The 25,561-nt window shown below is 40.3% G+C and overlaps 1 pseudogene across 1 annotated transcript in view, besides 4 other annotated features; it reads right to left on the bottom strand.

Moving 5' to 3' along the window:
* Positions 664-25,561, bottom strand: part of RPSAP52 (ribosomal protein SA pseudogene 52) — a 68,955-nt pseudogene continuing 44,057 nt past the window's right edge. Inside the window, exon 2 of the transcript NR_026825.2 lies at positions 664-1,675. The product of NR_026825.2 is annotated as a ribosomal protein SA pseudogene 52 (transcript). The remainder of the gene's footprint in view (positions 1,676-25,561) is intronic.
* Positions 3,890-4,450: an enhancer, noted in NCBI's record as "OCT4-NANOG hESC enhancer chr12:66155026-66155586 (GRCh37/hg19 assembly coordinates)". NCBI's record gives its function as "activates a minimal SCP1, AML or CMV promoter by ChIP-STARR-seq in naive H9 embryonic stem cells {active_cell/tissue: H9 hESC(naive)}" and the evidence as "EXISTENCE:reporter gene assay evidence [ECO:0000049][PMID:30033119]".
* Positions 8,053-8,347: a silencer, noted in NCBI's record as "tiled region #15140; HepG2 Repressive non-DNase unmatched - State 22:ReprW, and K562 Repressive non-DNase unmatched - State 24:Quies". NCBI's record gives its function as "represses a minimal TATA promoter and a strong SV40 promoter by Sharpr-MPRA in HepG2 and K562 cells {active_cell/tissue: HepG2 | K562}" and the evidence as "EXISTENCE:reporter gene assay evidence [ECO:0000049][PMID:27701403]".
* Positions 21,559-22,060: an enhancer, noted in NCBI's record as "NANOG hESC enhancer chr12:66172695-66173196 (GRCh37/hg19 assembly coordinates)". NCBI's record gives its function as "activates a minimal SCP1, AML or CMV promoter by ChIP-STARR-seq in primed H9 embryonic stem cells {active_cell/tissue: H9 hESC(primed)}" and the evidence as "EXISTENCE:reporter gene assay evidence [ECO:0000049][PMID:30033119]".
* Positions 24,411-24,947: an enhancer, noted in NCBI's record as "OCT4-NANOG hESC enhancer chr12:66175547-66176083 (GRCh37/hg19 assembly coordinates)". NCBI's record gives its function as "activates a minimal SCP1, AML or CMV promoter by ChIP-STARR-seq in naive H9 embryonic stem cells {active_cell/tissue: H9 hESC(naive)}" and the evidence as "EXISTENCE:reporter gene assay evidence [ECO:0000049][PMID:30033119]".

Below are 25,561 nucleotides of genomic sequence, written 5' to 3' on the forward strand. Positions count from 1 at the left end.
AGGTGTTCCAGCTGACCACCCCAGCTGTGGTCCCTCTGGTCAGCTGATATCACTTACCACTCCTGGAGCCTGGAGTCATCTGAAGGTTACTGTGTGTGAGTAACCATCCAATGACTCTAGGCTCCAGAAGTCATCCTCAGCATCTGAGCTGAGCTGTCCCTGCTGAGCCTTGCCCAAATTGCAGATCTGTGTGATAGAGAAAAAGATTTATCATAAGCCACTAAGTTTTGGATTTTTCTTATTCACCAATAGGTAATTCCAACCCTGAGTTCTCCCCTTCTACTGGGAGTTTGCTGTTGGTCCTAATAATTTCATATGTTTAAACATCCACTTTTAAAGAAACCATCTAAACTGGGATCTGGAGTTCCTAAGATTTAGCCACAAGAAAAAGTAAAAATTCCCTGCAAAATGAGTGCTGTGAACTAAGAAAAAAGAAGTTAAGATCTAATGGAGCTATCATTAATAATTCAGGAACAGTTACCATTCCTGGGTACCAACAGTACTCTACCATCTATTACATTAGAACTGAGATAAATTGGAAAATGCTTCTTGACAGAGCAAGTTGTTTTCAAAAGATCAGAAAATGAGAAATCTAAAGAAAGAAGGATGGAAAGAGCAACAATGTGATATGAGCTATGCCATGGACTTAGGATGACTCTGGTCTTTGCATCACAGAATTTTATTTTTTATTTTTTAGAAACTGATGTTTATTTTCTGTCAACCTTATTTTCATGTTGCTTAAGAGTCCGTGCAAGAACAGCTTAAGACCATTCAGTGGTTGCTCCTACCCATTCAGTGGCCTGAGCAGTGGAGCTGTGGACCAGTCTTCCATGGCAGGCTGAGCCTTCCAGTCTTCAGTAGAAACTGCTGAATAGGCACAGAGGGCACCTGCATGCCTTCAGACCAGTCTGCAACTTCAGGCTGAGTAACAGTGAACTCAGGAGCTGAAACAGTCCATTTACCCTGAAATTCCTTCTTGGTCACAGCCTTTTCAGCAGCAGCCTGCTCTTCTTTTTCAGTCTCTTCAGGATCTCTGTAGAAGTAGAGATTAGACATTACCTCCCATGGGTGTTGCAGGAAATGGTGCCACGCATGTGCAGAACTTCCCAGGCCAGCATCTACCACATCTGACCCACTGAGGGAGCTCCCTTGTTGTTGCATGTGATGGCAATGTCCAATGGCACAGAGGAGAATCTGTGTTGCATAAAGCAATGGCAGGTGGGTTAACACAAGATGCCTCTGTGAGAGACTGGTGGTCAGCCCTGGGGTCAGAAACCACAAGAAGCCGTGGCTCCCAGTAGGCTGCCTGGATCTGGTTAGGAAGGTTCCAGGAGTGAAGTGGCCAGCAATTGGAGTGGCTCCAGTGGCAGCAGCAAACTTCAGCATAGCCTTCTGGCCAGTATTCCTGGAGGATATGACACTGACATCAGCAGAGTTTTCAATGACAACAATGGCATGACCTGCCAGCAGAAGCTTCTCCCAGGTCCTCTTCAGATTTATGCTGTAGATGCCATCACTTTCCTTTTATAGATGTACTGTTCCATTTGGAAGTCAATTTGGTGCCACCTAATTGGATTCCCACTGCAAGGAGCTTAAGGACATCCTCCTCCTTCATTTGCAGGACATCAAGGGCTCCAGACATTGTGAAAGTTTCTCTTTAAGTCATGACAGGAATCTGAAATTAAGAACAACACCTTATGGACCCCACTGTAGGTAGCGCAGAAACACTGCCTCACAGAATTTTAGAACCTCAAGATTGTAAGAGATCAGCTAGTTTGAGTCTGATTAACCTCTCTTGTCAAATCCCTGAGTCCCATCTGCAAAGAAAAGCTATCATCTAGTTTCTGTTTAAATATCTTTGATGTCAGAGAGAATCCTCTTAATTTCTCAAAGAAGTTAGGTGTTAAAGGATTCTTCCTTGGGTTAAGCTAAAACCATTCTCCCTGCAATTTTAACATTTGGTTTTATTGTGAAGTTGTATCTTTTGCAAGAGGTTTGGTTCTAAAGCCACATGAGGCAGCAACTGAATATGGCCAAACATGGTCTTGAAAGTTCCTCAGGAAAGCAACCCAACCATTATTAGCCTATGAGTTGTTAGCCAGCATTCCTGCCCATGTTGGAACTGATTACTGTTTCTTTGGTTGAAAAGCAGAAAATGTAGTTGGTTTGCATAATGGTGATGGAGGCATTTAAAAAAATATGAATTTTACAAAGCTAGAATTACACTCATACTGGGGAGATACTTATGCTAAGAGAGGCAAAATGGACCTGAGATGGGAGAGTTCATACTTCCTGCTTCCTGCTCATTCTGGGGCACATATACACTCATTAAGCAGAATGGCTGAAGGAGCCACCCACACTACTTACTTGTATTTTTCTCTAAAAATAAGATTATTTTTGCAGAGCTCATCTAATTGAATGCGTGTCCATTAAACACACTTATGACATATACCACTGTAGGCCTGTCCTCTAAAGCTACATACAGCAAGTCTCGTGTCGTCTCCAGGAAAGCGTTTTGAAGACAGTGATTAGAATTCTTGAGACAGCTCCACACGAAGCACCATCATTCCTTCAAATGTTTCTCATAGAACATAGTTTCGAGCCCCTACTCACTTGTATTTCTCCTCAGAACAGAGCTGAACATGTGCCCCTAAGTATAAAGTCCTGGACTGTTCAGACTGTGCACATGGGATCAGGTCAGCATGGAATAGAGGAGATGGACACGTCTTTCCTTCTGAATTCTGACTTCCCTTACGCCAGCCAAAAATTGCATTTGAATTTTGGCAACTAAATCCTATTGTTGTATTATAGTTACCAAAATCCCAAGTGCTTTTAAAAGTTATGAACTATTTAAACGTGCAGAAAATGATATAGCAGACATCCACGAACTCATCACCAAGATTAACATGTTAACAGCTTTGCCTTATTTACCTCGGATTACTAAATCTTTCTTTACATGTGCTTTTCTTTGCCCGGTTCTCCCGTATACTGTATTTCTGCACCCATCTAATCACCCTGCCAAGAGTTATGGATTCAGCATTATTTCTTAAATTCCTACTGTGTCCTATTTGGGGTCTTGATTTTGCTATTTAAATGCGTTTTGTATTATCTCAGACTCATATTCACAGTTTTCATTAGGGACCCTGTACACACAAGTTTTTTTACAAAAATGAATGGGACAGGTTGATGACAGAGCCCCGGGATCCACCACTAATGACATCCTCTAAACTGGCTGAAGCATTATTTCATCTCTGTGACCTTCTTGTGCCTTTGTTTATGTCGTTTCTTTCTCCTGGAATGGCTTCTTGCTTCCTTCTTCCATCTGACCAACTTACATTACTTAACCCCTTGAGGTTCAGTGTCAGCTGTTCCAGGAACCCTTCCCTGATCATTATCTGCTAGGTGAGGTACTCTACCTTTGCATTTCTTTAGGGTAGCACCTCTGCTCTACAGTCTTCATTGGCTATCCTGTCTATCTTCCCATCTCATATTTAAGTCCTTTAAGGGAAAAAATGTCATTATGTTTTCCTTTATATTCTTAACCCTTATCAATGTGCCAGAACTTCAAAAGTACCAGATCATATTAGATGCTCAAAAATGCTTGTTAAATAAATACACAAGAATAAAACAATTTAGCCAAATCTTTCTTCCTTCCATTACTGGGATACTTTCCACAATATCTCTGATAGATCATCACTTCCATCATGGAGAATTTGCTACCTAACAGGACAGCCAATTCTCTATTTGAATGGCTCTGGATTTTGAAAGTCTCCAATTAAGCCCCGAATAGGTTTCCTGTAACAACACTGTAAGTTCTCATAATAAATAAGTCAAGTCTCTTTTCTGAATGTCAAAGATTCTTATGTGGTATTCCTTGGGTAACTAAGTAGTTTTTAGTGAATATGTTTTATACACAGCAGGCAGAGCTGGAGAAATTATTTCGGTGTTCAGAATTGAGGCACTTTCTGGGGCATCCCATTAAGGATTTCTACCCTGAATTCTTTCCAGAAGCTAATTGGGTCTGTGAAGGCCACAGAGTACAGGTGTTCCATGTTCTATGCAGCTCACATTCCTACATAAACATGCTGTTACTTTCTTGAGCGTCACAAGCTCCTGGGTGGTCTTAGGGCTGCCTTCAAAGGAAAACAAGTAAGACTTTCCTCTCATTGCTGATCACTTGAAGACCTCGTTAGCATACAACATTCTGGAATCTCTATTTACTGAGTCATGAGTTCTCACCTGAAAGGAAACTTAAATGGCTAACTCTGGCTAATTCCAAACCTCATTGAATAGCCAAAGAGTTGTAGGAAAGGTAAAAGTGAGAGAAACAGGTAACTTCTGTGCTAAGTTCAATGCCTTTCTCTAAGCTCTTGATTGTAACTATTACTTAGCAAGGTGAAAGCATTGACATTTTCCTCAGGAAATATAGAAGCAAGTCATTTCCTTAAAAGTTAGGTGTTTTTTTGTTTGTTTGTTTGTTTGTTTGTTTGTTTTGTCCCAGGTTGCAGATTTTTCCAAATGGTGATGAGTTGGCTAAGTTTTATAACAGAGCAGTCATTATTCTTTCTGTATAGAATGTCAGTGTTTCTTGTGTGCCAGGCACTGTGCTAGGTACTTTGCAGGACTTACCTGATGTGGCCCTCCTAACAATCCTGAGAAATAAATATTATTATCTCCATTTTATATATGAGGTACTCTAGGCTCAAGAAAATTAAGAAACATATCCAGTGTTTCAGAATCACTAAATTGCAGAAACAATCCAAATCCAGATGGTTCTGATGCCACAGCTCATGGGCTTTGTAATAGGCCGTGCTGTCCCTCATTTCAACATCAGCTTCCCCATGTGATCTTCCATGTGGAGCTGAGCACTGCCTTTACTTCCAGATCCAGTGTTCATAGATCACCTCTATTATCTGCATATGATTGGGTGCCATCCACTTAGGACAAAGTTATAACATTCTTTTCTTATCAACCACAGTGTATTTAATTTTGTTTTAAAATAACATCACGCTTAAGAATATCCAGAATGCATGTAAATGATTGCTTGGATGTGTTAGCTTCTCTCTCTCTCTCTCTTTTTTTTTTTTTTTTTTGTCTTGAGACAGAGTCTCACTCTCACCCAGGCTGGAGTGCAGTGGCGCGATCTCGGCTCACTGAAACCTGTGCCTCCCGGTTTCAATGATTCTCATGCCTCAGCCTCCTGAGTAGCATGCACCACCATGCTCAGCTAATTTTTGTATTTTTAGTAGATATGGGGTTTCACCATGTTGGCCAGGCTGGTCTCGAGCTCCTGACCTCAAGTGATCCACCCGCCTTGGCCTCCCAAAGTGCAGGAATGACAGGCATGAGCCAACATGCCTGGCAGCTTCTCTCTTTTATCTTTGGGTTGGCTAGAGGGGTGGAGTAGAGGAAGGTGAACTTTACTTAATAAGGCCCAACAAAAGTATTTAGTAAGAAGCTCAATTTATTTAAAAAATCTGAGTCCTTTGGACTGAAAAGCCAGGGACAGCTTTTGCTGATATTCATCATGAGTATTTTATTTGCATTATTTAGGCTATTTTTTCCACCCATCTTGATGCTCCATGCTTGACAGCAAATTCTTTAGACCAGAGGTTGGCTGAATTTTGCCCACTGTCTTTGTAAATAGAATTTTAATGGAACACAGGCACGCTCACTTGTTTACATGTTGTTTGTGGTTGTTTTTATACTACAAAGGCAGACAGAAGTAGTTGCAACTAAGACTGTATGGTCTACACAGTCTAAAATATTTACTTTCTGACCCTTTACAGAAACAGCTTGCCAACCCTTGCTTTAGGCAGACCAAAGATGTATGGATGCTGCAGTTCAGCTATGAATCTCTGTGTCTAGACTTGAATGAGGAGGAATTTGGACTTGGATGGCAGGACTAGAACATCTTTAAAGGCTCTTCCAACTCTGCATTTCAAGGATTTAAAAATTCAGCATTATATATGTTTTTTTTCTCATAAATAAAGTATATGAGGTAGGACCCGGATAGCAGATGTGGACTTGTAACAAATCTTGGAGTGCAATAGGTATGTGAAAAACAGACATTTCTGTTTTGTTAATTCTTAGTATGCTGACGCTCAAATATAGCAAACTATGAATCCAGTGCATTAGTTAAATTTTGAATAGTCTCTAAAGGCAGCTAAGGCTGAATACGTGGAAGTGGGCCATGTCTGGTTATACTGACATCAACGAGTATTTGAAAGGAATCGAACTACATAATTGTACCATTTTGCTTGTCAGTATTTGTAAAATATTTTTTGTGTCTTCTATGAAAACTCCCTCCAGTCATGAATGTTTTATTAATTTATTTGTTGCCCATCAACCTTATGCACACTGCTATATGAAACAATAGAGGAAATGTGGTCACTACCCTGGAGAACTGTGCTGCTCAGTTCTTGGACTCTCTTCCCATGCCTCAGGACCTGTTGTAATGTTTTGGTTATTTTTTAAAGTATTTCCTAGTAATTAAGGTGCATGTCTGAAAAATTATGTATAATGTCAGAGGCCCAAAACCTTGGGATCTGACACCGGCTGGATTTCTTTTTGCATCCTTGGGAACTTTGGCTGCATTTAAATTAGAAAACTCATCTTTTGAAACGACAGGCTTTTTTTTTCTTTTTTTTTTTTTTTTTAAGCCTCCTGTATTCTCTGTAGATCTTATTTGGCTGACTGGTTAGTCACCTGGTCTTTTAACTTGGGCCAAGCTTTCTCTGAATACCAGAAGGATTTCAAAAGTAGATGTTTAAAGACATCTGATCCCTGATGTATTGCTTAAAATCATCATCTACACATGTATATACATAAATATATTTTTAAAAATATTAACTTAGTATTTTTTAAGTATTTTCTATGTTAGGAAATATACTACATTCAGATTTTTTTCCTATTGAATTTAAAATCAAAACAGACATATGTGAGTCAAACAACAAAAACTGTAAAAATACCTGTATGGTTTAAAATGATTTGCCTGGGGAGAAGAATATCTTATGATTTGAAAATGGGAAAGAAGTTTTATCTTGGAAGGAAAAAAAGACATCATGCTTGAGGAAAAAGGATGAGTTTCATGTGTAGACATTGGGAATGGATTATGGGCATGACCCAGCAGGAGGTCGGAGCTGTCGGCACATCACACTGTGTGGCACCATTGTGAACTTGTTGATAGAATGTTTTGTAATTGTTCTCAAGTCAGCCAGTATATGAATATTTTGTCTTCTGAGTCAGCAAAGAGAAGAATTTTCATCACCTATTTCATTAGTATTTCCTTTCTTTTCTTCACCTGTAAGTGTCTAACAAAATATTTTATCTTAGGTACCTAATAAGTATTTATTGATGAATAACTTCACTGTTTAAATCAGCTCATTGGCATGTCTACTGATAAAAAAAAAAAGGGGGAGCTGGGCGTGGTGGCTCACGCCTGTAATCCCAGCACTTTGGGAGGCCAAGGCGGGCAGATCACGAGGTCAGGAGATCGAGACCATCCTGGCTAACACGGTGAAACCTCGTCTCTACTAAAAATACAAAAAAATTAGCCGAGCATGGTGGCGGGCGCCTGTAGTCCCAGCTACTCGGGAGGCTAAGCAGGAGAATGGCATGAACCCGGGAGGCGGAGCTTGCAGTGAGCAGAGATTGGCCACTGCACTTCAGCCTGGGGACACAGCAAAACTCCGTCTCAAAAAAAAAAAAAAAGAATGAACTTAAAAATTCTGGAGAGAAAAAATGCATACATTCCAGAATTGCTTAAAAGACAATCTTTAAAATGGTTCTAGATGAATTCATCAAAGTTGATTTCAGGTGATAGCAATTTGTCAATAGATGAATTGGCCCTATGACTCATTTGCCCATTTAATGATTCATAATTTTGTTCTGACAAGTAATAAAGTAACAGGAATGTGTGTTTCAGTAAGGCTGCTCAATATATAGCTTACTTTGGAGGAAGACAATTTCTTGGGTTTAAAAAAATTCAGATATCAGGCATATCATCCATCTCAATGAATTTTTTAAATAGTATAGTGAATTTTAAATAGTTTAGTGAAGTGAAACCAATCTCTCGCTTTTCCTGCCTCCTACAATTTACAGATTTTCTTTCTTGACAGGGAGAGAAAGGAGTTGCATTACAAGTATGGACTAGGAATATTTTTATACATGGATAAGGAGAGGCTTGTATGCCTGTGACTGTGAGTCATGAACTGATATAAATGGGAGTGTGAAGATACTCAATGGTTTTAAGCTTGGAATTTTTCAAGTGGTTGTGCCAAGAACTACAAAGCAACAAGTTCTTGGTGAGTCAATAATGTTGAAAATTGTTTTGTTGGCAAATTGGTTTTTTAATGAATCGGTAGTCAATCACTTACTACTTGACTAATTTTCTTCACACTGGTCTATCTCTTATGAAATAATCTTCCTTCTCCATTAGACACCCACTTATCCGGATGCCAAAACCAGCCTTATCTGGAAGCAGGTATATGAAGCTGCTGCCATATTTCCCAGCCCCCATAGCTTTATAATGATAAATTGTTTTATTCCATGTAAAGGAAAACAATCTTTTAAGATGTCTTTTTGGAGAATTAGTTATTGAACATTTCAATGTGATAACATTAAAAACAAGATTTCATTTTAACCACTAAAATGGCTTAGCCATAACTCCTAACAGAGGTATGGCCTAGAATGTAAAAGAAAGAACTTGGCTGTGTATAAAAGAAAGGGAGAGAGAAGAAGAGTAAGTGTAGAAAAATGAGTGAAAATACCATAGGCTGTAAGAAATAGAAGAAAGATGTCTGAAGACACAAAATGGCATAGGGCTATTGGAGGCTGGTAGGTGCTTTTGTACATGGGTTTGTATCCTGGTATGAGACAAAGAAGGTTAAGTGTATGTGCATCTTAAAGATAGAAGGTCCACTCTCCCAAAATATTCAACCTTTTCAAAATATTCGGCATCATATAGTGGCTAATAGATATAAGCAATTTCCAGGCTTGCTCTGTTGATATCACCCTATCCCTATGTCTTAGCAATTGGAATGGGGATTCAAGGACTGGAAAGCAGGGTATTGGGTCTGACATTCTAATGGCATTGGACAAACTCCTCTCCACTTGTGTTTTCAGTGGTGACAGCCAGAGATTAATGGCAAGAGGGTACTAGAATTGACTGTGTGAATAATGAAAGGTACTAGGGGTCACTGCCAAAATACTGATCTATATTCTTTTCTGTTATCAGGACACTGGCATCCACGGAAAAAAAAAATTAGTCTTTGTAGAAAAAAACTCTAGTATTATTCTACCAAGTTTCTCTTTGCAACTTGTGCAATGTGCCCAGAGTTTTAAATTGGTCTTTCTATTCTTCAAATAAGAAACTGTTCTTATTTAAAGAACAGTTCTTAGTGTTCTTATTTCAAGTATCAGTGCAGAGCCCAGATTTCTCTCCAACCTGTTTTCCCAACACAAAGAAACTAAACTTGAGGTCCTTGGAAATTCTGCTTGGTATGAGTCTTTGTCTTTCCATTTTATTTTTCTTTTTCCTCCTCTTGTTTTCACTAGATTGAACTCCATGCCTTTCTTCTTTGAAAAAACAGAGCTGCATCAGGCATGGAGATCAGGAAAAGGTTTTTTCACCTCCATGATTTTGGTAGCAATACAGACATCTGGCAGCAAGAAGTATAAAAAACTTCTTTACTTTTTTACTTTTTTTAAGGAAGCCATTATTTCAGGTAGAGGATATCAACTAACATATTCTTGCAGGCATTGAGCTCTTTCTTTCAAGACCTCCATTGCTGATCAAACTAAATATTTAAAAGGACATTCCTGTAAACAAAAACATGGTCTGCATTCACAAACCATTTTCAACAAGATCTCTTTCCAGTCAAGACTGACCATCTGCTTGCCATCTTATATTTTTTAATATTATTCTGTCAAATACATGCTCTGTCAATGCAGGTAAAGGAATACTTGAAAAATCTGAACATACACAAAACAGTGGGTCCAGATGACATGAATCCAAAAGTCTGGAGGGAATTAGCTAATGCAGACTTGCAAATAAGTGCCCCAAACAGAGCAGCTTCACTGTATTTTATCAAACTGCCCTTCTTTCAGGAAGTACACAGATAGTAAAATAAATACAATCAACATTCCCTTTGACTCTCCTGGCAGCGACTGTTACCTTGGACAAGTTACCATTTACAAGGCTGCACGTATGAACTTACTCTAAAAGCAAAGCAAAAAAAAAAAAAAAAAAATAGCACATCACCAAGAAAGAGCAAACAAACAAACAAACAAAAAGAATTAGTATTTTCTAAAGATTATAGAGATAGTCTGTAATTTGTTATCGACTAAGAGTACCTTTGAGATCTGAAAAAGGGTAACCAGGCCAGATGCAGTGGCTCACACCTGTACTCCCAGCACTTTGGGAGGCCATGGTGGGCAGACAACTTGAGGTCAGAAGTTTGAGACCAGCCTGGCCAACAGGGTGAAACCCCGTCTCTACCAAAAATACAACAATTAGCTGGGTGTGTTGGTGGACACCTGTAATACCAGCTACCTGGGAGGCTGAGGCAGGAGAATCGTTGAACCCGGGAGGCAGAGGTTGCGGTGAGCTGAGATCACACCACTGCGCTCAAGCCTGGGTGACAGAGCGAGACTTTGTCTAAAAATAAATAAATAAATGGATAACCAAATAGGAGATGTGGCTGAGAGGTTCAAGGTGGACAATTCAGGACTGTGAGCCAGAATGACCCTGAGTCTGGTCTTGTTTGTCATCTGCCTATGGAACCACAGCCATGGACCTTGCATGGGCAAAAGCTGGGCTAAGCAAGAGAGTATGACAGAAGTAATGCTATACCAACTCCAGGCCTATTCTTCAGAGGACCAGTGACTTCCACCCTGGCCACTTGAAAGCCATCCACCGTGTAACAAGTTGAACTACCCTAAGACTCCCATGCTGTGTGGAAGCCCAAGCTAGTCATCTGGAGAGAGTGAAGTGGGTGGTGGTGGGGGTGGGGAGGAGAGCTAGGGGGAGAGTAGGGAGAAAGCTCTTCTAGCCACCCTGGATCCTAGTATGGATTCCAGACAAGTAAATAAAGAAGCCATCTTGGACATTCCAGCCCCAGAAGATGCCATATGAAGGGGAACAAAAGAACCCAGACAATATCCAGAACAGAGAGCCCAGCTATATGGCCCCAGTTGATCTGGCCCCGTTATTTCCTACCGTCCAAATCACCTCAACTGAAGCCTCAGGTATTGTGAAGCAGAAACCAGCCATCTGTACTACGTCCTCCTTGAACTCCTGATTCATAGAACCATGAGCTTAACAAAATGGTTTTAAGGGGGTGAGGGGGGCAAGGGTTTACGCAGCAAAAGGTAGAACTAACAACTTTTACTTCAGGAAACTTTATTCCTTTTATTCCTTGTGTTTCTCTACTTTGTTGTTCCTATTTTCCTTTTTCTTCCTCTATTTATTGCTATTTTTCTCTACTCATCATGCTAAGATAATTAAGCATATTTTAAAATTTGTTTTGTTTGCAAATGAGATGAGTTTTGGTATGCTCCCCTGCCCACCCCACTACTTGTATACTATCTTATTTTATTATTTATTTAAAGACAGGTTCCCGCTCTGTTGCTTGGGCTGGAGTACAGTGAGTGGTGTGATCATAGCTCACTGAAGCCTCACCATTCATTATTTTAAAATGAAGTGAGTTGTACTTAAAATTTCCTCTCAGAAAACTAGATTAATCGATTCTTATTTTCATGTAGGCACCAATGACCTAAACCTTTAAAAATCTATGTAAATATGAAAAACTGGAAAGAAATAGAATGTCCAACGAAATAACTAAATACAATGCAATTGATTAAAAAATGCTGCACTGACTATATCTGGAGCAGCCATTGCTATCTCTTTGCCTCACCTCTGAACACTCTCACCTGCTAACCCTGATCCAGTTACAAAAGCCCTGGTACTGTTCCTCTAGCGTACCAGGCATGCTCCCTTTGCCTCTGCTGTTTCCCCTGCCTGGAAAATTTCAAGAAATGCACACAACGTGCCCTCTTTCTTCTTTGGGGTTCTGCTTATCAATGTAGCCTTCCTTGACCATTGCACATACGACATGAGACTCCTCCCATTCCTAACATGCTCTATCTCGCTTGCCCTGCTTAATTTTTCTCCTTAATGCCTCTCACCATCTGCTGTATCATGTATTCACTTATTTATTTATTCATTGTCTTCTCCCACTAGAATATCAGCTCCATGAGAGCTGAGACTGTGTGGTCTTGTTCGGGGTCTGTCCCTGGCATCTCTAGTACTGTATGGCATATGGTAAATATGAGTCAAGGAAGCATGCTGTGCAGCTGAGATGCAATGGATTTTAACTTCTGTCAAAGCCACTAACAATACGTCATTAAGAGAAAAGAACAGGTTACAGAATAGTATGGAGAGTTTATACATATGCTTTGAAAAAAGTATAATAGTCTTGACTGGATGCATAACTAGAAATGAGAAAGGTCCTCATTTTGTCAGCTGGGTGTAAAATTGGAGGAAGCGTTGGTGCTCCCACCTGTGTGGCAGAACAGCACAGGGTTACCGAGAGAATGGAACAGGTTGTGGGTGACGCAGGAATGGGAAGGGGAGGCAGAACACAGGCTGAGCCAGAAGCAGAGGCAGCACTAACTCTCCTACCCAGTGGTCATTTCCTCCTTGCCCTTACCAACAAAATTCTGATGTCATTGAGAGGAGCGAGGGGCCCAGCCAAAAATACTCGCTTTCCTGAACTCCTTGCAGCTAGGAGACCATGCGAAAAGTGCTGGCTAATGAGAATTAAAGCAAAAGTTTCAAAAAAAGCTTTAACTTTTCTGATAAAGGCACTACCCTTTCCTCAGAAAGTTCCTTTGAAACTTTTTGTTCCATTCTTTTAGTAACCCGTGTGCTGTTCCGTCACCCAGGTTAAAGCACCAAGGCTTCCTCCAATTTTACACCCAGCTGACAAAATGAGAACCTTCTCTTTTCTAGTTATGCACCCAGTTGAAACTATTACACTTTTTTCAAAGCATATGTATCAACTCTCCATGCCATTCTGTGATCTGTTCTTCTCTCTCAATTACTGAGGGGGGCACTGCTTCTCTCCTTCCTGCCACAGAAGGATATGAGGCCTGGAGCTGCAGTAGCCATCTTGTGAACAAAGAGGCACCAGCTGTGAGGCAGAGGCTTTCATGATAAGAATGGTGAAATGGAGCACCAGGCATGGTGGCTCACACCTGTAATCCCAGCACTTTGGGAGGCCAAGGTGGGCGAATCACGAGGTCAGGAGTTCGAGACAAGCCTGGCCAACATGGTGAAACCCTGTCCTTACTAAAAATACAGAAAATTAGCTGGGCGTGGCGGGCGCCTGTACTCCCAGCTACTGGGGAGGCTGAGGCAGGAAAATCGCTTGAACCTGGGAGGCAGAGGTTGCAGTGAATCGAGATCGCACCACTGCACTTCCCTGGGAGACAGAGTGAGGCTCTGTCTCAAAAGAAAAAAAAAAAAAAGAAAGAGCCTGCATCCTATGGCTGGGCACAGTGGCTCATGCCTGTAATCCCAGTACTTTGGGAGGCTGAGGCAGGCAGATCACCTAAGGTCAGGAGTTTGAGACTAGCCTGGCCAACAGGGTGAAACCCCATCTCTTCAAAAATACAAAAAAAAAAAAAAATTAACTGGGCATTATGGTGGGAGCCTGTAATCCCAGCTACTTGGGAGGCTGAGGCAGAAGAATTTCTTGAACCCAGGAGGTGGAGGTTGCAGTGAGCTGAAATCACACCATTGCACTCCAGCCTGGGCAACAGAGCAAGACGAAGGAAGGAAAGGAGGGAGGGAGGGAGGGATGGAGGGTCGGTCCTGAAGGCATCGTGGAGCTGCTGCACCATCTTCATGTTATTTCCTGTAGACTTATTGTAGCAGCCAAACATGATCCTAATAGATACTTTTGGATTTTTCTCCTTCTTCTGTCAACTTACCATTTTTCGACAATGGCATATGTTATTTATATAGCTAAAACAATCGTGTGTGTGTGTGTGTGGGCACACGTACACATGTATTTGAGGATGGTTGTGAAAAAAACATTTGGTTAGTCTGAAGCTAAGGCAGGAATTTTTTCTTCCCTTGCCTACTTACCCCAGAGGAGAGAACTAGATCCCGAATTGTTGGACCAGCCACCTTCTCTTATGACACTTTGTTTTGTCCAAATACTAGACCCTTTGTGATCTCAAATCCCTTTGTAATGAACTGCCCTGGTGAACTGGCCCCTGTGTGAGCCAAACAGATTTGAGTTTTGTAGCTAATAACCTAGGATATAAATGAATTGAATTGTCTCCTTCTACTTGGACTTCTGATGGCAAATAGCAGATTAAAATGAATTTGAAGAGAAAAGAACATATCTCCTTAGGCTTGGAGCAAAACTTCGTTAATCTGAAACTCTCTGCTCCCATTTTTGCCTAAGCTGAGCCTAATTTCTGCTTGCCTGTCTTAGGGGAGATCCTTCATGCAGAATCAACCTCTCCAAAAGAGAAGAGTGCAGATGATGCAGCTTGTATACCTCTCAGCTCCTCCTACTGCAATGCCTTTTCTCCGCATCACAGCCCAGTAGTGAATCCAAATTTTTCCTGCCTGTGGCACCTAATCCACTATATCTCCCAAACCCTGCTTCTTCCTCCTATTCACATTATTGAAATTTGAGGCAGCCCAGTTAATAACACACTGTTTTCTCCCACTTAAATTCTGGACCAAGTAAGAAATAAGACAAAAGAGTAAGGCAGAGAGGAATACAAAATATATTTGTACTGATGATGCTGATGTTGGCCAATGTTTCCCCTATCAGCAAGTTGGCTTGCAGAATGAGACAGACTGACCAACCCAGTCAGAGGCTGCATTTGGCAACCGTAAATTCTCCCCGGAGAAGAGGTCTGTCCCTGCAAAACTTGTAACATGAAAAAGTAAGGCAATATGCTGTCTTCTCATAAATCAGCAGCTCCCAAAAATAAAATGAAGAGGAAGGGCTGGTCAATGCATGCCCAGTTTCTTTCCAAACCCATCAGTCAGACCAAGTCATTCTTTTTCCTGGCTGAGGCCCCTGCTTAGTTCACTCCTTGCCTTCCCCACCCCATCCAGGCCAAAGCTTGCCTGCCCTCCCCTTGCTTCACCCCCAGACAACAACCCCCACATGTCCAGCTCCCGCTCCCTGCATGAAGCCACCCCAGTGCAGGGTGGCAGATGCTCCAACTCTCCTTTCTACTCTTCCATAGACAAAGGTTTAATCTCTTCTATCTGTCCCAATTACCTGTATGCCCTTTGTATCACTTGGGTCTCAGTCTGAAGCTCTTACTCTAGAGAAATACTCTCTTGACAGGGAACATGTGAAAAGACATATAGAGTCCCCCCACTCAGCTCTGACTTCTAGAATTATGGAGAAGAAAGTAGTCTTTTTCTATAGTGTTAGAAAGAGAAAGTCTACTTTCAGCTTCAGGAAAAGGGCACAGGCTTTGGCACGAAACATACTTTAGTTCCCAATCTGGTTCTGCTATCTTCTTGCTCTCACATCTAGTACACTTGGTTTAACTTAAGATTTGGTATCTTTGAGAATGGAGTGTATTCATATCATGGCTACCATGCAGAACATCTTTTATAAGTATTCCTGGGACAATGCCCAAAACACAGGAGATAATCAAGAAATATTGGTTTCTATCTCCCATATCCAACCTAATGGTAGAAAAGTTTCACTTCTTAAGTTTTATATTCTCATTTTCTAGTCTTCAGGTCAGCCTTGTCTTTGGATTAGTCTATCTTCTCCCATCTTAGGATGATACATCTAAGTTTTAAAAAGATATTTCTTATTTCTTTCCAGATTCTCTGCTGAAGCCAAGCATGATCCAAAGGCAAAAACTTTCTCATAGTCCACAGTCAATATGGCTACTACAGGATACAATGAAAACTCTTAGGGACAGTGATTGTTCTTCCAAGACCCATCTGCTGACGCTGATGTGAAGAGGCATTTCGTATACCTAACCTGACGAACATCGAACATCGTAATTTAGCCTAGCCTATTTTAAACATGCTCAGAATACTTACATTAGCCTACAATTCGGTAAAAATCCTCTAACATAGAGCCTATTTTATGATAAAGTGTTAAATATCTCATGTAATTTATGGAATATTGTACTGAAAGTGAAAAACAGAATGGTTGCATGGGTACCATCATAAAGTAGAAAAATCATACTTCAAACCATCTGCAACCATCTGTAGTCTCGAGCACTCATCATAGGACTGTTTGTACTCTATGACACTCATCCCAAGCTAGTATGATTACTTGTTTGTGAATGGACTTTTCAAAAGTATCTCCATAACTTATTCTTTGAATGCCCAGCACCCAACCTAGGCTCAGGGACACTGGGCTTTAAGTAATGTTTACCAATGAATGAATGAATGACCAAAGGCCAAATAATTGATTCAAAAGACTCTTTATATAAAAGCACCATGGAAAAGTGTTGTTACCATGATTGTTTTCTATAAGTCAATTTTATGTAAAATAATAATTTCCTCCAATATAACACAGGGAGGATTCCCTTTAGACAATAGCCATGCATGTCATAGATTTTTCTTTCTTGCCAGACTCCAAAGACATCTAGTCACTTCTATTGGCACTGATTGGTCTATTAAGGATGTCTCAAGTGGATGGGTGTCCTTAAAATAATGTTTTCCTCTCAGCTAGTTGGGAGGCTGAGGTGGGAGGATCACTTGAGCCCAGGGAGATTGAGGCTGCAGTGAACTGTGATCGTGCCACTGCACTCCAGCCTGGGTGACAGAATGAGATCTTCTCTCAAATAAATAAATAAATAGTGTTTTCTCATTGGTTTACATCATAATTTCGGAGATATTTTGATTTTATTCTAATAAAATGACTTTAGTTTCAATGTTTGCCTATCTCCTGAGAAGTTACCATTCAGAATCTTTTCGTAATGTAAATTCTCCTAATTTATAGGTTGTCAATTTTGGGTTGTAGTATACTGTATTTGGCTCTCTTAAAGCAGGGCACACCTGAATTAGCTTTTGAGATAAAAGGAAGGCAAAGAAAATTGATTGGGAGCAAAACATCTGATATAGTTTTAGTTGCAAAGTTCAAATTTTCTGAATGGGACCAAGATGGCATAGTTTGAAATGTGGCTGAAATGTCTACATACCTGAAAGCAATGCTGGTGAAGTTCTTATACCATATTTCCTGGTGTGTTTCTCTTTAGGTATTTCCACATATGTACACATATATTGGGGAAAGCAAATGAACTTCTCTTTTTCTTCCCTAGAATCATTTCCATCCCATACTTGTTATACGAAAATGGCCACTCGTTCTTGGATTCATTTATTTATGTAGATTTTGCTTTGACTTTACCAAACAAGAAAAAGAGCTGAATTTAAATAGCAATGAAATTCTGCTTGCTGCTATGAGAAGGACTGTCCTCAAAGATCTCTTCTCTTGCCACTCCGCCTTCCAGTTATGCTTTGTCCTTTATCCCACATAACAAATCTTTATCTAGCACTGGCTAAGGGTTGGGCACTATGGTAAGTGAGGGAGATGCTGTCCCTCCCCACACTGAGCTTACAATCCAAGGGATGTTTTATGAAAATAACCAGTCATATCTGGGAATAGAGCCAATTACAGTGTCCAGATCAGAAACTGGCCTCAATTAAAAGTGATACTGATAAGAGTATCAAAAAGGTATCAAAAGTGATATTCATCCTATATTTTGCCCACATTTATCTTCCTAGAATGTTTTTTCCATAGTGCTGGATTTACCCCTTGGAGCCACACAGAATAATGCTTATCTGTGCTCTGCAAGATGTTTCAGGTTTTAAAAAACAGCCACCTTCTCCCTCTGAGTGATCTGTCCTTTAAGGCCAAGTAGACCCTGCTCCTTCAACACTCTGACATAATTGAATTTTTTTGGAGACAGAGTCTCTCTCACTTTGTCACTCAGGCTGGAGTGCAGTGGTGAGATCATAGCTCATTGCAGCCTCCGCCTCCCAGGCTTGAGTGATCTTTCTTCCTTGGCCTCCTGAGTAGCCGGGGACACAGGCACACACCACCATGCCTGGCTAAATTTTTTATTTTGTATTTTATAGAACCAAGGTATCTCACTATGTTGCCCAAGATGATCTGAACTCCTGGGCTTAAGTGATCCTCCCACCTCAGCCTCCTAAAGTCCTGGGATTACAGATGTGAGCCATCATACCTGGCCTGACATAACTGTGAATTCCCTCAAACCTCTGTACTTAGATAACTAACCTCTGTAGCTAGATTTTGCAACAAATGACCAAAAACCTAACATCAAGTGGTTTAAACAATATAGGAGTATAATTCTCTGTGTAAAATTTCAGGTAAGTGATTTACCTCCAGTGTGGTGCTCCATAATACCACAGACCCAGGCTCTGGCCAGCTCGTTGCTCTCTGCTACTTGACTTGCATCTCAGGATCCAAGTGGTAGCACCCAAGTTCTAAGCAGCAGGGTAGAGGAAGGGGAAAAAAGAAGGGCAAAACCGTGGATGGATGCATGTGGTCCCTTAGGAAGTGTGTCCAGAAGCGGCCACTTTGCTTCTGTTTCATTGATCTTAGCTACATGCCTGCACCCACATGGAAGGGAAATTGGGAAATGAAATGTGTTCTAGGGAGCCATAGGCCTTCCTAAAACTTGGAGGTACTGTTGCTTTAGAAGAAAGGGACATGCATACTGAAGGCAATCAGCTTTACTTACCACACTCTCTCCTTGTGCTCTTTGGTCTCTCATGAAGTGCTGTGGCCAATATGTCACTGCCTTTTTTTTAAATGAAAGATATCACACTGCAAAAATAGCAATTTTATTTCATCATATACAGATGTAGAAAAGTCCTTGTACTTTTCTAAATCAAATTAAATCTAACCGTGTACCTTGTCTCACCATGCTAATGAAAAATTCAATGTCCTTTATCCAGTATTGCCTCTTTAGGGTCACATGAAAGTATGATTGAGGTTGAGAAGGCATTATGTGGGTCCTGGAAATTGAGGAATGTGGCTTTTATCTTCAGGCCATCATAATCCCCCATGAGAGTTTCATTGTCCAAGTCCTGTATGGTCCATGTGAAGACAGGAGACCCTGCTCTTTTCACTCGAGGCTTGGGCTTTAGGGTCTTTGCCAAAGCTAAAATGAAACCCTTGATGCTGGGTGCCCAGCCTTCCTCAGTGCACTGTACAGTCATTTCTTTCCACAATCCTGTGACTTCCCCAGGGTGCTATAAAGCAAAGATCCCTCCATTCCCTTCTCAGGTTTGCAGAATCTCCCACTTCCCAGGACCAGCCTTTTCTGTCTTTACCCTCCAAGCATATTCTTTGATTTCTCCAATTCTGGATCAGCCCAACATCATTTCCCCTCAGAAGATGTAAAGAAAATAATTTTTGCCTTTTTTTGGAGTACTGTGGTAGAAGGAGATCCTGGCATCCGTCAGTTTTTGTGGTTGCTGTTTCATGTTTTTGTCTTGTTTTGTTTACTCTAACCCTGGTATAATTCATTTATTAATGCAGTCTCAAATCAGGTGGATCATTTTCATAATCATGTTATATTGCTGATCAGTATCAGGAATTGAGCTCCTCTGCTAGTAACAGATATTCAACTAGAGGCATAACTAGTTAAGAGCTTATTTTTTCATATAAAGAAATTCCTGTGGTAGTCCAGTCCAGAGTTGGAACAGAAGCTTCAGAATGTCATCAGGGACTCACTGCTCCCTTGCCTTCCTCCTCTGCCACCCTTATTCATGTCCATCATCAATGACACAATGTGGCTGCTAGAGCTCCAGCCATTACATCTGTGTTCCAGGCAGGAAGAACGGGAGGGGCAAGAGCAAAAGAGACACACCTTCTAGATGAGTAAATACCCTTTAAATAGCTATCTTTAAACTTACGTGCAAAAAATTCCATTTAAATCTCATGGCCAAACCTTTCTTCATGGGATGCTGGCAAATACAGTTCTAACACATTGCTGCTCCAAATAAAATCCAGATTTTATCATCAAGGTAGAAGGGAAAGTAAAAATCTGTAAGCAACACAATTTCTGTCTACTGCATATTATTGCTAACTCGTGTCTCTATCTCTTGGTTCATACAGTTAGCTATTAATATTTGCACCCAAGCAAAGAACTCAATTTTGTCTTATTACTATTGAGTTCCAACTGCAGCCTATGAACATATTTTAAAATCCAACATGTTCATTATTCTTTGCAGCTAAATCACCTATACATGTGATTTAAGTGAGCCAGCTGCTAAAAAGTTGTTTCTGACTTTATACCAGTTGGTGAGGTGATGAAGAGATGGTAATAATCCCATTTCCAAATATTTTCCTCTGATGCCTTCAGCTTCAAAGATTTCCATCTCTTATTTCATAACTTTGAGATCTGTTTGAACAACTTTTGCTTTTTATTTTTGCAGGGACATCTATTGCTAGAGAGATGCAGGGGTTTTTGTTGTTGTTGTTGTTATTGTCATCCTTTTTTTTTAGAGATGAGGTCTGGCTCTGTCACCCAGGTTGGAATGCAGTGGTGCTATCATAGCTTACTGCAGCCTAGATCTCCAGGGCTCAAGTGGAGATGCAGTTTTTATTGCAAAAAGAAAAAAAAAAGAAGAAAGAAAAAAAAAAACAAAAAATTTCCAGTTCATCTTCCCTTTCTTTCATTTTATTAAGTATAGTTATGTTATTAAAGTGCTACCTACATTCCTTTTCTCCTTTTTTAGAAAATCTTTTACCTAAATTAAGAATCATTCCATGATGTATACCTATATCAAAACATCACCCTGTACTCCATAAATAAAATTAAATAGGTATATAAAAGATAAAACTTTTAAAGAATTTTGACCAAAAAAAGTTCTAAACATAATGTAAGAAGCATAATACCAATTCTTTACATCAGAAAATTGGCATAAGATACAAAATTGTGACTAGTTTTCTTTGACTAATACTTTAATAATGTTTCATCAAAATTTTGAAAAAAAAAAAAAAAAAAGAAAACCACTTTGTTTAACATTTTTTTCTTGCCAAACCTTTTGTATCAGCCTGATTGCCTCTCTGACTCATTACACATAATTGAGTGATTCTTACAAGACAAATAAAACCAAAACAAAAGAAACTTTAAAAATAACAGAAGAATTATTTCTGCAGCATCAACTTTGCCTTGTCAATTATCAAGTCCTCTCCCCTTTTTGAGAGCTGTGGAGTAATCTTTTTAAATAAATATACCTTTTTTTTTCCATTAGAGATTTTAGTTGGGCATATAATCATCTGGGTGGGAAGATTTGTTCAGCATTTTTTTTTAATTGAGAATTGAGTCGTTGTGCCATTGACCTTGTTTCTGATTTCAAGCTTTTTTTTTCTTTAACTTTTATTTTAAGTTCGGGGTACAAGTGCAGGTTTGTTACATAGGTAAACTTGTGTCATGAGGGTTTGTTGGTGCAGATTATTTCATCACCCAGGCATCAAGCCTAGTACCCATTAGTTATTTTTCCTGATCCTCTTCCTCCTCTCCCACTCCACCCTCTGATAGGTCCCACAGTGTGTTCTTCCCTTCTTCAAGCTTTTTTAAAAATGTGGAAATAATGACATTGCAACAACAACAAAGGATTATTTTTGAACTTAAAACTAGCATCAAATAGTGAGAGAAATAGATCATCATCACTAATTCCAGCTCCAGCTTTCTTGAATCCTTATTCACAAAATATTATTTCAGCTTCTTTTCTCTCTCAATGGAAATTGATGGTCCTTTGCAACATTTTAAAATCTGTGCACTCTCCTTGAAGGTAAAGGGGCCCAGCCTTCTCCCTGAGGGAAAAGGAAATTCTTTGCATTCCTTCCTGATGAATCAGACATGCACACACACACACACACACACACACACACACACAGACACACACACACAGACACACACACACAGACACACACACTCCTTGATTTATCAGTGGCTCTTTGGTGGGATGTTCTGTTACAAGCTAAGACTCCCAGTCATGAGCTAGACCACTTATTCACTGTGTGCATTTGAGTACATTGGAAACCTTTGTGAGTCTCAGTTTCCTCACCTGCTAAATGGGGATAATAATATCTTCCATGCAGGATTTTTAGGGTTAAGTGGATAACATGAGATGCATCTGATATAGGAAATCCTCATTCAGGATGGAATAAGTAAGATTAGTTCATCTTTTTTAATTTTCTGTATTTCATTGTTAATGCATGAAGTTGAATATCATAGTTTGTAACACGCTGTTCTGAAACCTATAAGAAACACTGAACTGACCAGGGGTACCTGCATGCTGTGAGGCATACATTGGGTGGCAAGAACGAGAGAAAGCATTTATTGAATGAATTTCACGTGCCAAAGACTGTCCAGATGTTAGTACTTTTATTTTTTTCAGAACATCTCTGAGGGAGCAGTATTGCCCTAATCTGGAGGAACATGAGGCACAGAGAGGTTTAAGTCACAAAGCTAATCCGTGGCCAGCTGAGAGTTGATTCTCTGTGTGCAGGAGGCTTGTGCCCTGTGGAAGTGGAATTCTAAGACAGATCCCAAGATTCTCACTCCTCAGTGTCTGCGTCCTGTGTGATCCAATTCCCTTAAGTGTGGGTGGGACTTTTGAATATGATGGGATAACCAGTCCTGTCATTACATTCTGGCAGAAGTTAGGAAGATTCTCCTGCTGGCTTTGAAGAAAACAGCTGCCTTGAGAGGACCAGGTGGCTAGGGCCTGAGGGCGATCTCTGGGAGCTGACAGTGACCCCTGCCAACAGCTAGCATGAACCTGGGGCCTCAGTCCTACAACCACAAGTTACTGAATTCTACCAACGTTGTGAATGAACTTTGGAAGAGGACCCTGAGCTCCAGCTGAGAGCCACAGCATGGCTAACATCTTGATTTCAGTCTTGTGAGACCCTGAGCAGAGAACCTGGGATTGCCATGCCAAGATTTCTGATCTACAGAAAGTGTGAAATAATAAATGGATGTTGCAAGCTGCTGAGTGTGTGGGAATTTGTTACACTGCAAAAGAAAACTAATATGTGCCCTTTCTACCAGGCTCTGCTGGACCCATACTCGGGTGACAGCTAATTCAGCTTCTGTATGCTCATCCATCAGATACTGGCCCAGAATGCTGGGGCAATACCTTTTTAAAGAGGAACTAATAATGCTTGCCTTTCCTACCTGAAAGAGTAGCTGGGAAGTTCATCTGAAATGGTGAACACAAATGTTCCTATGGAACACAAAGTGCTATACGACGGTGATTGTATTAGTCCATTCTCACACTGCTGTAAAGAACTACTTGAAACTGGGAACTTCATGAAGAAAAGACGGGTGATTGACTCACAGTTCTGCAGGCTGTACAGGAAGGATGGCTGGGGAGGCCTCAGGAAACTTACAATCATGGCCGAAGGTGAAGGGGAAGCAGGCACATCTTACCATGGTGGAGAAGGAGAGAGAGAAAGAACGAGGGGGGAAGTGCCACGCACTTTTAAACCATCAGATCTTGTGAGGACTCACTCACTATCAGGAGAACAGCATGGGGAAATCCATCCCCAGGATCCAAACACCTCGCACCAGGTTCCTCCCCCAACATTGGGAATTACAATTCAACATGTTATTTATGTGGGGACACAGAGACAAGCATATCAGTGATACTCAAAATGTTAAACAACCAGTTCAGCGCGAGGGGCAACTGATCAGAAAGGATATGGTCACATCGATTACCTGGAAATATTTCTTGTAGGGCAGATGTAAAAGATAGTTCCAGGTTCAAATATTGATGTATGAAAGCCTGGGGCGTGGTCAGGCCAGGGGGAGGTCAAGTTTATAAAGGAAGCTCCTCCATCAACATTCTCCTCTGTATGTCTCAAAGTTTTGCCTTCACACCTATTTTCTTTAAATTCTCTCATATTTTCAACAAACATCACATCAACATATCCTTCTAAAATTTGTGAAAAATACTCCACTTTTAGAGAATGTGTTCTAAATGTTTATGCTCTCCCAAATTCTGAGAAACAATGGTACCATTAGCTCTTCCCTGAGTCTGCTCAAGAAAAACAAAATAGAGAGATTATTTAATGCTGAAATGTATACTATTGAATGAGAAATGAGAGGTTGTTTCTTTTGAAGTGTCATTCACATGGATTCAATTTGACTGTGTAGATGCAAATTTTGACCTTCAACATCTACCTTTTTCCTGCAGATATTTTGCTTTTTTTCCCTGCAGGTATTTTTGTATTGTTTCCTAGGCTCAAGCTGCCCAAAGTGTCTCAGTTGCTTTAGTAGCCTAATTGTGCAGTGGCATATTTAAAAGTCATTATTTTCATCATCTATTAAATGTAGCCCAGAACAGTTTAAAAAATTGGGTGAGGCATTTTTGCAAAAGCATTTATGATGTGGGCTGCCAAGGAATGTGCAGCTGCAGGAGCTTCTTTCTCTAATCTCGGACTTTTACTTGAAAATGTATTAAGGGTGGATACCTGTGAAGAGGAACCAATTTGATCTCCCAAGTATTGCGCCCATTGGAGAGTGAGACACACCTTGTTTGAACATACTGACTCTATTGTTCCCAGGAAGTGTTAGTTGTTACAAAATAGCCCTTTTATATTGAAAGGAACTGCTTTACCTTGGATAGCATCTGTTATCTTGCTAATTCTTAACATCTTTGAAGAGTGGATCCTGAGCAGTGGTGAATTGGTAAATGTTTAACAACAGGCTTGGTGGTAGGGAGTACCCTGATTTGTTGCATTTGCCAATTTCCTTGGTGTAAATACTCCTACCATAACCAATTTCAAGCTATCAAAGTTAGGTCACTGAATGTAGAGTTGGGAATAAATGTGCAGTGATACACCATCATATAATTTTTTTTTTACCATACAGATACAATAGACATACATAATCCCAGGAGTAAAGGTAACAGTAAAATGGAGTGAAATAATTAGGAAGTGATGATCTTTGACAATTTGTTGCCTTCCTTTGTAATATAATTTATTTAATTGTAATTTTGTCTCATTTAAACTTCAATAATGGCCATGGTTAACAACCAGCTCCAGTACACCACTGAGCCTGAGTCGAGAGGATTAATGTTGCTGGATGATAATAACACTGAAGTCATTCTGCTTTATTTTTGATGGAGACACCAAAAATCCAAGAATAAGGCAAGACATTCCAAGTACCCCATATTAAAATGTGGAATGCTAGGCCACCTGAGTGGGACTTGCAAAGGCTATGACCAAGTTGGTCAGCATCATCTTCCAGTTGAAGTTGAGTTCGAAGAGGTAGGGAGAGAATTTCCATGGGAAAAAATTGTTGGATTGTACTTCAATACAAGTAACAGGAACTTCAAGAGGACCTCTAAGAAAATTATATGTACCACTTGGAGTGTAGGAACATATGGACTGGATCTGAGACCCAGTAAGAACAGTAAGGGTAAAGTCTATGGCTGTGACCACAGCACTGTGTCTGGTCACAAAATAAGGAAGCCTGCAGTGGGAGCAAACTTCACCTT

The sequence above is a fragment of the Homo sapiens genome, chromosome 12, assembly GCF_000001405.40.
Source record: "Homo sapiens chromosome 12, GRCh38.p14 Primary Assembly".
NCBI classification, from domain to species: domain Eukaryota; kingdom Metazoa; phylum Chordata; class Mammalia; order Primates; family Hominidae; genus Homo; species Homo sapiens.